We start from the raw sequence: 16,249 nt of genomic DNA, 5'->3' as shown, positions 1-16,249 counted from the left end.
TATCCTAATGTCCATTAATTATTAGGGCTTGAAAAGAACAAAATCCAGAAATCAGTATTACAGAAAGCATAATATCTATGTCTGTACTTTAAGCTTTTTAATTAGTCAATACTAGGCTTAGAAACTTTTTGTTTGCTGAACACCTTTTAGACTTAAAGAGCTGTGTGTTCGAATACTCTGTATACCATCTTTGTCCTTAAGTATGCTAGCTAGAAAGGAAAATTACTAGTTACTACTAAGGATAATGACTTTCCTTAGCAACAACACACAAAATACTCAGTTTGCTAATTTAGTTTATAAACACAAAATACACACACAAAGTTTTGTTTTTGTTGTTTTTATGAAGAGTAGCAAGATACATACATAGTCTCAAAGTATCTCCCTATAAGATACTTAGTAATTACGAAGGGTAAAATAATCACTTTACAGTGCAGAAACTTGGCACATACTGCCTTGGCTAAATGATCAGAGTTATGATCATCAGTAACAAGATAAATCAACAGCATGTGCCTCCTCATACTATGCACTAAAAAGGAACACATTAGTCTGTGGCATTTCTGCCAAAAGGTTATAACCTGAATCTAATCACTAGGAAATACTGGACAAAAACAAATTAAAGGACATGCTACAAAATAACTGGCCTGAACTAAAAAAAAAAAAAAAAAAAAAAAAAAAAAAAGTGAATGTCATCAAGCACAAAGAAAAACTCAGGCTTAATTTCAGATTAAAGGAAATTAAAGAGACATGGCAACTAAACGCAAGCATAATCTTTTTGTTGTTGTTGTTACACAGTACTTTACTGCAACAACTGGCAAAATCTGAATAGGTCTACATATGGTAGAGGCCAATATTATTAATAATTATTTCTCATGTGAATATCCAATTAACCCAGCACCATTTATTATAAAGACTATGATTCCCCCAGTGTTCCTTTGTGTCATTTCTGCTATAAATCCAAATATCCAGATATGTGTGACTGTTTTTGTTTTTGTTTTTAACAAGCACATACAAATTTATTTTCTCTCCCTGCCCTTTTTTACACAAATGATGGCATAAAGTACATATTTTCTGTTCCTAGATATTTTCTTGACATTGTCTCTGGGTGTTGTTGATATTTCAAGATCAGTAAACAAAGAATTTCACTTTTTTTTCCAAATTTATCAGAAATGTTTTCAAAGAACTTAAAACAGAACTATCCTATGACCCAGCATCCCATTACTGGGTATCTATCCAAAAGAAAATAAATCGTTCTACCAAAAAGACACATGTACTTGCATGTACATCACAGCACTATTCACAACAGCAAAGACACGGAATAAACCTAGGTCCCCATCAACAGTGGATTGGATAAAGAAAATGTAGTACCTATATACCATGGACTACTATGCAGCTATAAAAAGAATGAAATTATGTCCTTTGTCACAACATGGATGCAGCTGGAGGCCATGATCCTAAGCGAATTAATGCAGGAACAGAAAACCAAACACTGCACGTTCTCACTTATAAGTGAGGGCTAAACATTAGGTACTCATGGACAAAAGATGGGAACAACAGGCACTGAGGACTACTAGAAGAGGGAAGGAGGGGAGCAAGGGTTGAAAAACTATTGGGTACTATGCTCACTACACCTGGATGATAAAAACAATCACACCCCAAACCTCAGCATCTTGCAATATAATCATGTACAAACCTGCACATGTACCCTCTGAATCTAAAATAAAAGTTGAAATTATTTTAAAAAATAGAAATCTAAACATAAAAATTAAAACCACAGAAATACTAGAAGAAAACATGGATGAATGCTTTTTAACTAGGGAGTAGAGGAAGGCGTGTTTAACTGTGACTCAAAATTCAGAATAAATGAAAAGATTAATATGACTATATTAAAAAAACTTTGACAAAAAAATCATACATGAAGTAAAAAGACATTTGACAATCTGGTGAAATGTATTGCAACTTATAACAAAAAGGACTAATACCCATAATACATAAACATATCTTAAAAATGAAGAGAAAGCTGGGTGCAGTGGTGCGCACCGGTAATCCTAGCAACACGGGAGAGGCTGAGGTGGGAGGATTGCTTGAGCCCAGGAGTTTGAGTCCAGCCTGGGCAAAACAGGGAGATCTGGTCTTTAAAACAACAAATAATAAAAATAAAGAGGAAGGCTAGGCACGGTGGCTCACACTTGTAACCTCAGTACTTTGGGGAGGCCCAGATGGGAGGATCATTTGAAGCCAGGAGTTTGAGACCAGCCTGGGCAGCAAAGTGAGATCCCATCTCCCCGAAAAATAATAATAAGGAAAAGACCAATGATCCAATTTTTTGAAATAGGCAACAGATTAGAGACTTCATAAAAAGAAATGCAAATGGATGGGAATGAAAGATTGATGTCTATGAATTTATTTTGTTATATAGTTTTTACTTCAGAAAAATATAAATTTTATACAATAAAATATAAGTCAAGGGGGAAAAAAGCAGTCTTTAAATATTGAGGAAAAAAACTGAAATGAGCTGAACTATAAATCAAGTTGATGGCATAATCACATGGGAAAAGTTACTTTATGTGATTTAAAAACACAGTTTTTGACTATACATCCCTAGAAGTACATATTCTAATGACAAAGATAATTTATGGTTAGTAGTAATATTGGTATTTTAAAAACATAATCGAGGCTATACTTTAGTTATACAAATAATTATGTTAATATTATTAGGAATCAAGACTTTAAGAGAAAAAAGATACAAGTAACAAAAAAGAAATAAAATGAAAACTGTGCAATCTTATGTTGATCAGAAATACCAGTAAGAACACAGGATCTTTTTTTCCTTTAAAAAAATATTTCCTAACTCTGTCCACTGAAATGGCCTATAAACAATGATAACCTATTAGCTATGTATGCCCTCTAGCACCCAGACTGTGGTCTCTAAATACCATTTGCCATTAAAAGGAACTAAATGGAGAAATGGCTGATTCCAAGTATAAAATAGAAAATGTACAAAACGAACCCGGGCCAACTTGTACCAGAAAGTGAGGATATGATGAAAGACTACTTGGCTCATGTCAAAAGTACAAAAGTCAGTTTGGAAAGATTCTCACTAAAGTAAAAGGGAACAATTTGTATCAAAAAGAGGAAAGATTGAAATGGAGTGAAACACATCAAATATATATAAAATCCATGAGATCATAAAATACACCAAAGACCAAACTTATTGGTCACTGTTGGAAGTTAATAGGGCATCCATTCCTTACTTTGAAAATTTATAAATCAGAAAAGTATCAAGTATTCATCCTGCCAAACTGTATTTCAGAGTCAACAAATAGTTGATATGGTAAAGTTCTTTATAAAAACATTCCATTTAATCAGAAGAAAGCATTTTTTTAAATCACCATTTTGCAGCACCTAATGAAATAATGGATTTTAGCAAGAATTATCAGGAGTCCTTAAAACCATTAGGTGAAAGACTGATGGGGCACTTTACAATGCAGGAATCAGACTAAAGCTACTTGAATCCACTAATTGTAACATAAATAGAGAGACAACCAGCCATTACATGCCTCCACTTGACTATTTAATCTGCATAAAAATCAGTGGGATTCTTTAAAAGATTTTCTCACATGGTGGGAATTTGTATGCAATTTTTACAGACAGCATAATGGTAAACTGTTTTCAATTCTTATGATATATTTCTGTGCTTCATAAAGAAAATGTGAAAAAATCACATATATTGAAATTTCAATTCCATTTTTATATTTAACACCTGTTTTTCATAAAGAGTTTTAATTGATTTTAGTCTTTCAATTATACTTACTGTGGATTCATCTCTTCTAACTGGGTGAGCTTTCTCCAGGGATTATACTCAGAGTCAATGCTATAAAGCCGCATGTGCAAGGCTAATACATGAAACAGCTGATCTGAAAAAATTGAAGAAAAGGTAATTAGAAAGTTCACACATTTGTTACAGAACAAAATTCAGACAAAATTTCTAGTTATTTCATAAGGAAATCTGTTTCCCATCCTGACAATTAAAATTCACCAAGTTTAAGTCCCAATTACTTCACACTCTCTTTTATGGTAACCTCTGAAATACATATCCAAATAATCTGTGCTAGAATCTGGACTGTCCTTAGACTCAATCTTAATACAGGAATGGTTTTCCTCATCTCCTATCACAGACATACTTGTCCTTGACTTTACGCTGCAGCCTTGCCAGTTTGTACTTCTCACCATTGTGTTCTCTTCCTAACCAAACTTTACTATTATCTTCAATCCTCTACCCTGGGTAATATGAACCACAACATCCTAATAACTCACTGTTAGGTGAAGTTCTTTCTTTGCCTAGTATGTCCCTCTAAACCTCATTTAGACTGAAGAGTGAATTCATCATCTTTGGATTCTACATAAAGAAAAAGTAACTGAAATAGAGTATTATTTGTTACAATTCCAACTATTTAAATTTATTCTACCTGAATTATAACAATAATCTACCAATCTTGGCTTTCAACAAAATTCTGCTCATGACATTTAGAAGAAAATATCATGTTTAAAATTATTCTGGGAAAAAAAAAAACCCTAAGTATTGCTTTTGTATCTGATGCACCCCTTCTTTTTTTGTTATAAATGACAATAATTAAATTATTCTGCCACACAGAATAATAATTTAATTATTATTCTGCCACACATAGTAATTTAATTATGACAATAATTAAATTATTCTGCCACACATACATATTTGGAAATCAAAAGTCATATTTTACAAAATCAGATATGATACTTCTTAACATATGATTAAAATTAATTCTTAAATCTAGGAAAAAAGTTAACTGAATGACACAAACCTATTATTGTTACTTATTTTCTAATTAAAACTAGACCAGATTTTGTTGCTGTGAGCCAGCAGACCTAGAAATTAACTACATTTTATGTTAATTTACTCAAGATCCATCAATATAAATGGGGTAGTATGGGGTGTACATGTGTGTTTATGTGTACATGCGTGTATGTGTATAGTATTTTGGGAAGCTGTTATAAAACATATGGGAGCTGTAATTTGAGTAAAATAAATGTTCTACTCTATGGGGCAGGATAAAGGAAATATATTTTTGTAAGTTTCAATCTGATCTCTCTATAACGAACAGAGGAATCTAAATACCTTACCCTGTTTCATCTCCTATTTATAAGTCAATGTGTAGCCTACATCTTCCTTAAATTTCTTCATTCTATTACTGACTTAGTTACTTATTACGTGCCAGGCATTATGTTACATTGATTGATAATCTCAATTAATTTTCACAAAAATTCTACTAGGCGGGTAATATTATTAACCCTCACTTTTGAGGCAAGTTAAGTTTCCCAAATTTCCAGTTTTTATGGTAGCCTGGTTTCGTAGATGATACTGAGAACAAGGGAAGTTTTAGCAGAGGAAAAACATGACTAAAGATTGGTAAATTTTCTTTTATTTCAATTCAATTATACATATGAGACTACTAAGCATATAATTTATACTTTTAATGAGTGTTTTAATGACTAAAACCTAAAAGTGTTTAAAAAACTAAATTCTTCTCACAGAAAAATACTAAGATTATCTCAAGCTGCACGGTGAGGAGTTCTGCATTCTTTTTATATAGGTATTAACTTGATCAAAGGGCTCATTTTAATATCTCCTACCAAGATGAAGGTGGATCATCTTAGTTTCCCTAATTTAATCAAAAGCATAGAAGCTGCAATTGTACTAACCTGTTTTGCATTGAAACCACAGCCAGCACAGAAAATAATGTTACATTCACCTATTTTCCTAATCCCTATCATAATTTAAGACTTTCAAAATGTTAGTAGAAAAGTTTTTCATCATTTCCTCATTCTATAGATAAGAAAATATGTCCAGAGAAAGGAAGTACCATTACTATATAATAGACCAGAAAGATGATATTATATCATCTTTAAATGATATTTAAATGATATTATATCATCTTTCTGGTCTATTATATAGTAATAATAGTTATAGAATAAATCTATAGTATGTAAGTTGGGCTTACATACGGGCAGATACATATATGGTTTGTACAAATATGAAATAAATTTAATATTGCCAGCTCACTCTTAATAGTTATTCTAAAAGCTAAGAATAGGATTCAAGATTTGCCACCTCTTAGTTATTTCTACCACTCCACTTTTTGGGGGGTTTATGATTAAAATAAAAGTACAAGATTCCTTCTCTCTCTGTCTCAGGGAACTGACCAAATAACCATTTTAACAACTTCAATTTGTTAATAAAATTCATTATTTATTGTTATTTATTCATTGTTTTGAAAGTTTAGTCTTATCAGTAAGACTGAACTCTAATATTCATTTAGCAGCAAAAATACGTCTTATACCAGATGAATATTAAAGACGTAGGATGAAGAGAATCTATAATCATAATCAAAAGTTAAAAAATGTATTAACTACCAACTGCATGCATGACATATAAAAAGTTGGAAAATAATTATATCACGAAAGCATATTAAAATTTTGAGTAACAATAACAAAAAAGGATAACTCCTTTCCTAGTATAACACATTTTAAAATTCTAAAGTTTGGTCCACATATATAAAAAGATTTGGAAAAGAGAAATACCTTTAAATTCATTTATAAGCGTGCTGTGATTTCAATCTATGTATAGGAAGCACCACTGTCTGGGAGGAGCCAGGAAGTCCTGGATTCAATCCAAGTCTGTACTAGCCATGTGTCTTTAAACAAATTACCTAACCTTAGTTTTACAGTCCATAAAATAAATATAATGTCATCTTTCTGGTCTATTATATAGTAATAATAGTTATAATCATAGAATAAATCTATAGTATGTTTGTAAGTTGGGCTTACATACAGGCAGATACATACATGGTTTGTACAAATATGAAATAAATTTAATATTTATAAACTTTACAACTAAAACTAGATATTACAACTAAAATTATAGATTATTATACATTGGAAACATAAGATCTCCACATAAAACCATCACTCTACAAACACATATTAACATATATTCTTAACTCTCTTCTCTCTTCTTTCCTTAATTTTTGGTACCACTCTCTCCTGGCTTTCCTCTGGTTCCTTCTCAGTTACTTTTATGTGCCCTTCTTCTGCTAATGAACCCTAAAAGGTGACATTTCTCATTAAAAAAAAGGAAAAGCCATCCTTTATTAGTCCTCTTTCCCTCTCATTCTGCACACACTACTTTACCCAAGCCCACTTCTACCTCTAAGTTCACAATTCACAAGGCTCTCTGGTACTTCAGATGTTCAACAGGCACCTCAAAATCAATACACCCAGACTAACCTGATTATACAGCCCAGCCCAGCTCCAATGTTAATTTCCTTTTAAAATTCCTATTTGAGTGAATGACACTCTTACTTGAGTGAATTTCCTTTTATAATTGCTATTTGAGTGAATGACACCACTACCCATGCAAACAACCAAGGAAAAACTCGGGAGTCATCTCCTACAGCCTTGCCCTCCACCAATCCCATTGGTTCTGCCTCTTATGATCCATCCTATTCTGGACCACTCTGCCACTACACTGTTTTCCACCTAAATTGCTCAACAGAATGCTCACTCAGCAGTATGCCTTTTGGTTCACCCCTTCCAATCCATCTAATCAATAAATCTGTTCACAATATCTCATAATTGATTGCTGAACCACTGAAGGAACAGGCATAGAAAGCCCTTTATGAGCTAGTCCATTTTCTTTTTCAGGTTTATTTCTTAACCTTCCTTCTTTTCTTTCCAAGTATTCCCCAACGTGTCATGTCGTCTCATGTCTTTGCAAGCTGTTCTCTCAGCCTAGAATAGTATCATTTTGTCCTTCAGGCCAACTCAGTTCATCTTTCAAGAGCCAGTTCATGTGCTGCTCTGTAAGGTTCTCTCTGATACCTCAGAAAGATCAGATTATCCCCTTACTTTATGCATTCTCCATACCTTGTGCTATCTATTTCAATTTTAGCATCTCTTACACAGTCTTGTAATTATTTTTCATGTTTTCCTCTCTCATTGGATGGTCAGATCTCCCTGAAGAAGACAATTGTGTCTTTACATTTTTGTACCCCCTAGGCTAGCACAACTGCTTGACATATAATAGGATTTTTAAAAGTAGTCTGAGCATTATATATCTACAATTCTATGAAAAAATCATAAATATAAGCATAAAATTCATGATGGTTTTCTACTTTTCCCTTTCTGTTGCAATGACACATTGGTTCAGTTACCAAGAAGCAGGCCAATTAATCAGCCCTACTTTCACTTCCCCAAAAGAGACTGACCCCCAACTCTAACTACTAAAGCAGTGCTTGACCTATTTGCTCCTACCATCTTCTTCCCATGCTGGTTCCCATGCGACAACTCACCTGGGATAAATTCTATTTTCTGCAAAATCTAATCAAATTCTTTACAACTGTGACAAGTCTAAAGTATTATAATGTGCTTCATCACAAGACAGACACATCATTACTGAAACTGAGAAAACAACACTGAAAGACCAGTTTGTCCTTAGGAAAATCTAAGACTTAATTATAAGTACTCCTAGCTAGAACCAAAAAGTAAGGTTTAAGAAATCCCTCTACCTTTATCAACATTAAGGTAAGACTATTTTACATAAAAAAACTCTATAAAATAAAAATATAACTCCAAATTTATTATATGAGTTTCACATGTATGTGTATGAATACCACACACACACACATGCACACAGATACCATTATGCCAATTTTTATGACCTCAGGAATATCCACTTAAAGAAACTAAACCCAAAGTTACCATATGTTGAAATCTTTCAAAAATGCTTTTGAAACAGATGTTCCAGTACCATCCCGGAAACTGTGTACCTCTGTCAGTTATTTCTTTTCTCTTTTTTTTTTTTTTTTTTTTTTGAGATGGAGTCTCGCACTGTCGCCCAAGATGGAGGACAATGGCGCAATCTCAGCTCACTGCAAACTCCAGCTCCCGGATTCAAGCAATTCTCCTGCCTCAGCCTCCCCAGTAGCTGGGATTACAGGCTCCCACCACCACACCAGGCTAATTTTTTGTATTTTTAGTAGAGACGGGGTTTCAGGTTGTTACCCAGGATGGTCTCGATCTCCTGACCTCGTAATCTGCCCACCTCAGCCCTCTGTCAGTTATTTCTAAACATGCAAGAAATCTAAAACTGGTAGGTTATTTCTTACTATACTCATACTGATCATTAAGATATAAAGACATTAAAGAGTTATCCCAAAGACTTTCTGCCAGGCGCGGTGGCTCATGCCTGTAATCCCAGCACTTTGGGAGGCCAAGGTGGGTGGATCATGAGGTCAGGAGATCGAGACCAACATGGTGAAACCTTTTCTCTACTAAAAAATACAAAAATTAGGCCGGGCACAATGGCTTACGCCTGTAATCCCAGCACTTTGGGAGGCCGAGGTGGGTGGATCACGAGTTCAGGAGTTCAAGACGGTGAAACCCCATCTCTACTAAAAATACAAAAATTAGCCAGGTGTAGTGGCAGGTGCCTGTAATCCCAGCTACTCGGGAGGCTGAGGCAGGAGAATCGCTTGAATCCGGGAGACAGAGGTTGCAGTGAGCTAAGACCGTACCACTGGACTCCAGCCTGGGTGACAGAGCAAGACTCCGTCTCAAAAAAACAAAACAAAACAAAGCAAAAACAAAAATTAGCTGGGTGTGGTGGTGGGTGCCTGTAATCCCAGCTACTTTGGAGGCTGAGGCAGGAGAATTGCTTGAACCCAGGAGACAGAGGTTGCTGTGAGCCGACATGTTACCACTGCACTCCAGCCTGGGCAACAGAGTGAGACTCCGTCTCAAAAAAAAAAAAAAAATTTTCATAAATTGGTTCTATCTTAAATCGTACCACTGTTAAAATGCACCTAAAGTAAACTTAACTGGGTCTGTATTCAAGACTTCAGTCTTATCAGTCTAGTCATCAATGGTTAAATCACTGTCAATGGAAAAAACCTCAGCCAGGCAAGGTGACACATACCTGTAGTCCCAGCTACTCAGAAGGCTGAGATGGGAGGATTATTTGAGCCCAGGAGTTTGAGGCCAGCGTGGGTAACAAAGCAAGACCCTGTCCCTTAAAAAAAAAAAAAAAACTCAACTAGCCAAATGACTCTGAAATATCATGGGGGTGGAGAAAAAAATCTCCCTTTCTCTGCAACTGAATAATCAAAGTGAGGAAATGGTTCTGACCTACTTATCCTAAGGTGAATGTAATAGGTGTGAGTATACACCTCTCACATCAAAGCCAGCTTCCACTGGTTCCTCTGTATGTCCCTGAGAAATCAGCCATGAAGAGATGGGAAAGAGCTCTTTAAATGAGGTCTGGGAACAGGTCCAAGAAGAAGGGAACATCTGTAGATCTGGTTCCCAAGAGACAGAAGGTTGATGCCATGGATGACAGGAGCTGACTCATCTCTCCCTATCCCATTCCTAAGCACTCCAGGCAAGGCAGGGCAGAGAATCAAGTGGCAGTTATGGTAGAATTTTAAAGAGTTAAAAGACAAGTTTAATAATTATTATTATATATAATAACATATTATGTAAGATACTTTAGCTCATATATCTAATACTATTTGATCATTACATTAACTATGATGGATATATCAGATAGTCAGTATAAGTACCATCATCCTCACTTCCACAATGAGGTAAAAAGTTAGGTTAGGTTCCCAAAGTCCAACAGATAACAAATACACTAGAATCCATGCCTTCAAACTCCAACCCGGTGTTCCTTCCAGCACTATATGCTAGGTTTTCACCAGTCAACAAGGACACATGGGATTTTGGGAATAGAGTGGGGAAGTGTTGCTTCCTTTGGAGAGGTTTTTTCTGCCATGTGAGGAAGGGAAGACAGTGAAGAAAAAGGCTGTCTTGAGTACTTTCATACTTTCCATGTTGTGTTCCTCTCCTGCCTCCCGGAGTTCCTATGTCTCCACTCCCAGGCACAGTATGCCATAATTCTCTGGTTAACCCAAGTATCCACAAGTATTATTATTAGCTTCACCAAATTGTTCACCTTCTACTTTAAGGTTTCAGGGACTAGAAGCCTCCCCTTTTCGCTTTCCGACAGAGCTTGGGATGATAAGAGACAGGGAGAGGACAATTCTGCTTCTGCATATAGGTAGTCCTAGGAAGAGAGGTCAGTTCTTAGGACTCCTAACTTCCTCTTTACTAAAGAGGCACATTCCATGAATCCAGGTCTTATTTAAGCACCTCGTTTAAAATGGGGGTAGAGTTTGTCCTATCTAACTGCAGAAGAAAGAAGCTGCCTCGCCCTAAGCCAAGTAAGATCCAAAGACTCCTATGTCCTGATAGTGAAAATTACTATCTATGGTACTTAGTTCTTGAATGCCCAAATTATAAATACAGAAAGGCCTGGCTACTTAAGTCACAAATCATGGCACTTTCAGAAAGGCCTTAAAGAAAATTTAAAGCCACTCCTCTAACTTAAATTTTCATGCCACATTCTTAAACCTCTCCAAATTAACAATGTATTTTGTTCTCAAAAGATAAACTTTATCATGGGGATAAATCTCATTCTGTCCTCCTAATCTCATCTCTGAAGAGGTCAAAAGAAAGTCTGTCAAGTCCCTTAAAAAAAACTGCAATGGACTGAATGTTTATGTCCCACCAAAATTCATATGTTGAAGTCCTAACCCCAAGGTTAGTATAAGGAGGTGGGGCCTTTGAGAAGTGATTAGGTCACGAGGAAGCCCTCATGAATGGGATTAGTGCTCTTATAAAAGAGATCCCAGAGAGATCTCTTGCCCCTTCCACCACGTGAGGTTACAGTGAGAAGACAGCTATGTATGAGGAAGCAAGCAGGCCCTCACCAGACACCAAATCTGCTGGAGCCTTGATCTTAGACTTCCCAGCCTCCAGATCTGTGAGAAATACATTTCTGTTGTATATAAGCCACCCAGTCTATGGTATATTGTTATAGACTAAGACAAAAATTGAGCTAAAAAGTGTTATCTTGCTCCTTCTCCTTATCCACACACCCCCCAATTTGACAATTATAGTGTTGAAATAGGAGAAATATTAATGTTGAGATTTACAATCTATAGAAACTAGAATATATATTATAAAATTGAATTCTTACAACAATCCTCTGATTGGGTATTAATGAGGAACAGAATCTCACTCTCTAGTTTACACTATGCTGCCTTTTAATATCACCATCCTTTAAAAGGCTTACCAAACTCCTCACCTATCTCAAACAGTACTCCTTATCTCTGAAAGTGTTCAAGCACAGTGCAAACGATTGGAATAGTAGGTACAAGATGCCTGAGCTAGATAACATTTAGACTAGGAGATTTCCTAAGTAACTTTTAGCTCAAAGATTCTGATTCTATTTATCATGTGATTTCACTGACAGCCTCTATTTTTTATTTATGCACTATTTAAAATGAAGAGCAAAATAAAATATAAAACAAAATACCAAAATCTTCTGAATTTGTAAGATGTATCAAAAGAAAAGAAAAACAAAAACTCCAAGCTTTGATTTATTCTACAGTGTATGACTGTAGATAAAGTATAATTCTAAAAGTTCCTAGAGTATAACTCCTAGTCCAGCTATTTGCCTTTTATGCTTAATGTCAATGATGTTAATTAACAGGGGGGAAAAGCTCCAGATTTGAGCTTTGCATGTAACAGTTAACAACCATGAACATCTGTCAGGAGACAGAGCATCCAGCCTAGTACACTAATTTTATAGATGAGGAAACTGAAGCCAAAAACATAAAATGTCTTGCCTAAGCACATGCTTATGATCCTAGTTTGCTGTTGTCTATTCCACCACATATGTATCTTTCATGTTGGCCCTAAATACATACCAACTTGCTCTTCAGAACATAAAACATTCCCAAATACCACAAAATCACCTTTTAGCCATCAAATCTGATCAATAACTAGTCTCAGGAGACAATTTACACATTTTTGTATTAATTTATACCTTTTGACCATTATAATAATTTGATGGCCAAATTTTCCTTTTTTATGGTAACAAAAAAAATTGAACAAAATTGTGGTTCAATCTGCTTGCAGAAATTGGTATTTTTAAATTTGAAAAAGGCCTTCATAAGCCATCAGTGTCAGAATTTTACTACTAAGTGTGAAAGAATAAGGCCAGACTACTTAAAAGTAATTTTAGCCCAGGCATAGTGGTTCATGCCTATAATCCCAGCACTTTGGGAGGCCAAGGTGGGAGGATTGCTTGATGCCAAAAACTTGAGACCAGCCTGGTCAACATAGTGAGACCCCATCTCTACAAAGAAATGTATTAAAAAATTAGTCGGGCCTGATGGTGTGTGTCTGCTGTCCTAGCTACTCGGGAGGCTGAGGTGGAAGGAATGCTTGAGCCCAGGAGTTCGAGGCTGCAGTGAACTATGATTGTGCCACTGCACTCCAGCTGAGTGACAAAGGGAGAACCTGTCTCTCAACAATAAAAGGGTAATTTTGTAAAAACTCATTATTTGTTTAACATCTTTATGCTCCCTAACTGTAGGGAGAAATTAATGTCAAAATAATTTTCTATAATTTTTTTTTGAGACAGTATCTTGCTTTGTCACCCAGTCTGTAGTGCAACGGCACAATCATGCCTCACTCCAGCCTCCACCTTCTGGGCTTAAGCGATCCTCCCACCTCCATCTCCTGAGTAGCTGGGACCACAGGCACACGCCACCACACCCAGCTAATTTTATTTTTCTTTTTAGAGATGAGGTTCTCCCTATGTTGCCCAGGCTGTTAACAACTTTTGGACTCAAGCGATCCTCCCAACCTCAGCTTCCCAAAATGCTAGGATCACATGAGTGAGCCACCGCACCTGGCTAATTTTCTGTAATTTTAAATTCACCAAAAATTCACTCTTTGAGCAAGTAGAACTATTTTAAGTTGCCTGCACAGATCTAAGCTGGGTTGCTTGCTATGAAAAGCAAATCTGGTAGAAATTATTTACTGCAGTGACTATGCATAATTTCTTGATCAGATCATAGATTACATCAAAATTAAGTCAGAACTTCCCAAATGAAAATGTCAAGGCAAGAGTTTGCCTTATCCTCTTCTTGACTAACATTTCATTTTTAATCTTTCTATAAAATCATGGAATCCATTTGAGACATGAACTGTGGTTTCTTAGTTAAATGACAGTAATAAGCAGACAAATTCTCAGACCCAAAGACAGGAAGAGACGTTTACCTACAAATGAAATAATTTTTTATATTATGCTCCAATATTAATAATTTATCAAATGGCATTGCCAATGGTTTCAACAATTTCTACTTGAGAAATACACTGAGAATATCATGCCAAAAATGTGCTGAAAGAATGTGAACTTCACTAGAATTTATGGAGTGTCATATTTACTTTCAAATCACTTTAATGAAGAAATTAATACAGTAAGCTTAATATTTTTAATAAAAAGTTATGCCTTTAATTTTTACATCTGCTTTTTCCAACATATGTTGCTAACCAAGTTGGTGGTACTTACTGTATATACGAATTTGTAACAAAAACTCTAAACCTCACTTATCTTTCAAAGTCTTGTTCAAATGCCTTGTCCACCAAAAGCTTCACTGATTCCAGCAGATAGATATGATCACAAACCTCTAAATTCCCTAGAACTTCTAGGAAATTCACTGCTGGAATCAGCGAAGTTTTTGGTGGACATGGCATTGGAACAAGTCTCATCTGCTGAATACAAGTCCAGCAGATGAGAACCAGTCTCTAGAACCAGTATCATGTGCTGAATACATGGTCCTGAATGCCTGATCTTCCCTGGTGGGTAAGGAGGAGGGCTAGAGCTCTGACCCAGGAATCGGCAGCTATGCTATATGTGAGAACTAACGCACATGGCTCATAGCAAGAGCAAGGGGAACCAGCCAGCAAACTGGCAAGGAATAAAGAAGAGCTAACTGGTATCCAGGGCAGAAGGACTCAGTACTTGCAAAAATGTCTGAAAAGATGGCTCAAAACAAAAACAAAAACAAACAAACAAAAAAGGATTCACGGTGAAAGGCTGACAAAAGAAAATAGACAAGATAAATAGGAGAGTTAGCACAGAAGGGCCTGGAAAGATCCCAAGGCAATGTTGTACAGTAGAGTGTCTTTGACTAAACCAATGGCTGAAAGGTCTTAAAAGTTCTGCATCCTTTGGGACACTTAAGGGCAGGAGATATGTCTTATATAACTGAATTAGAGTCAGAAGAGCTGGGCTCAAGTGCAAGCTCTGACATTTTCCAGCTGTGTGACTTGGCAAGGCAATCACTCTGAACTTGAGATTCCTTTTCTATGAAAAAGAGATAACACCTATTTCACATGGTCGTTCTAAAGATTAAATAATTTATGTGAAAGAACTTTACAAACTTTAAAACTACAAATGTAGGATATTATATTATTAAAATACCATACTATGCTGCTATGTGAGCTAATTTGAGTAACTTTTTACTATGGAAAATTTCCCAGACACGTATTTTTAGGACTGACCTTTTATTTTGATTGACACTGGTTAACTACTCTCAACTATTTAAAAATGTTTGAAGATGTAGTTGAATGGCATTGTTCCATTTCAATTTTATTTCTCAGTAGAGATTTGGCCATTAATATTTTTTGCTTTCATTGTTGTAGAAAGAACAATCTTCCCTTCTCCCCCTGTGTGTGTGTGTGTGTGTGTGTGTGTGTGTGTGTGTCTGTGTGTGTGTGTGTGTGTGTGTCCGTAATTATATACCAGGCATTACGCAATCCTCTCTAGACAAAATTTATTAAAAGTTTTCTTGACTAGACAAATTTTCAGTTTCATCAAGAAGTCGTAACAGAACAGTATTTCAAAAGTGTGATATTCTTAGAATGAAAAAAGTTCCCTTATCATTTGCTTAATCAGTGAGGCATTTTCTCACTCTCCTCAAAAACATTATGGAAGAAAAAACATTAAAAATTAGATGTTCAAAAAGCAATAAAGAGCAATCAATGGGAAAAGGAAAATATGAATACAATAAGATATTTCCCTAGAAAAAAGATAGATTTTTTTTTTTTAATAATACCACTGAAGTTGCACTGGAAGATGAAAAAAATGAGATATTTGCAGTGAGATCCCATGAATCATCATCAATTTAAGTCCTGGTGTACAACTTAAGTTTGAATTTTATTTGAATAAATAACAAATACTAAGTTCATACACTTGTAAGATAGTGGGATTTTGCATATATACAACATATTCTATATATAT

At 35.5% G+C, this 16,249-nt stretch overlaps 1 protein-coding gene across 1 annotated transcript in view; it reads right to left on the bottom strand.

Annotated features, from left to right (window-relative positions):
• Positions 1 to 16,249, bottom strand: part of UBR3 (ubiquitin protein ligase E3 component n-recognin 3) — a 256,678-nt gene that overhangs the window by 50,872 nt on the left and 189,557 nt on the right. Inside the window, exon 31 of the mRNA NM_172070.4 lies at positions 3,812 to 3,914. Coding sequence (NP_742067.3) covers positions 3,812 to 3,914 — 103 coding nt within the window. The remainder of the gene's footprint in view (positions 1 to 3,811; positions 3,915 to 16,249) is intronic.

This window comes from Homo sapiens, chromosome 2 (genome assembly GCF_000001405.40).
Source record: "Homo sapiens chromosome 2, GRCh38.p14 Primary Assembly".
NCBI classification, from domain to species: domain Eukaryota; kingdom Metazoa; phylum Chordata; class Mammalia; order Primates; family Hominidae; genus Homo; species Homo sapiens.
The sequence above is the reverse complement of the archived record's forward strand: the minus strand, read 5'-3'. Positions and strand labels throughout refer to the sequence as shown.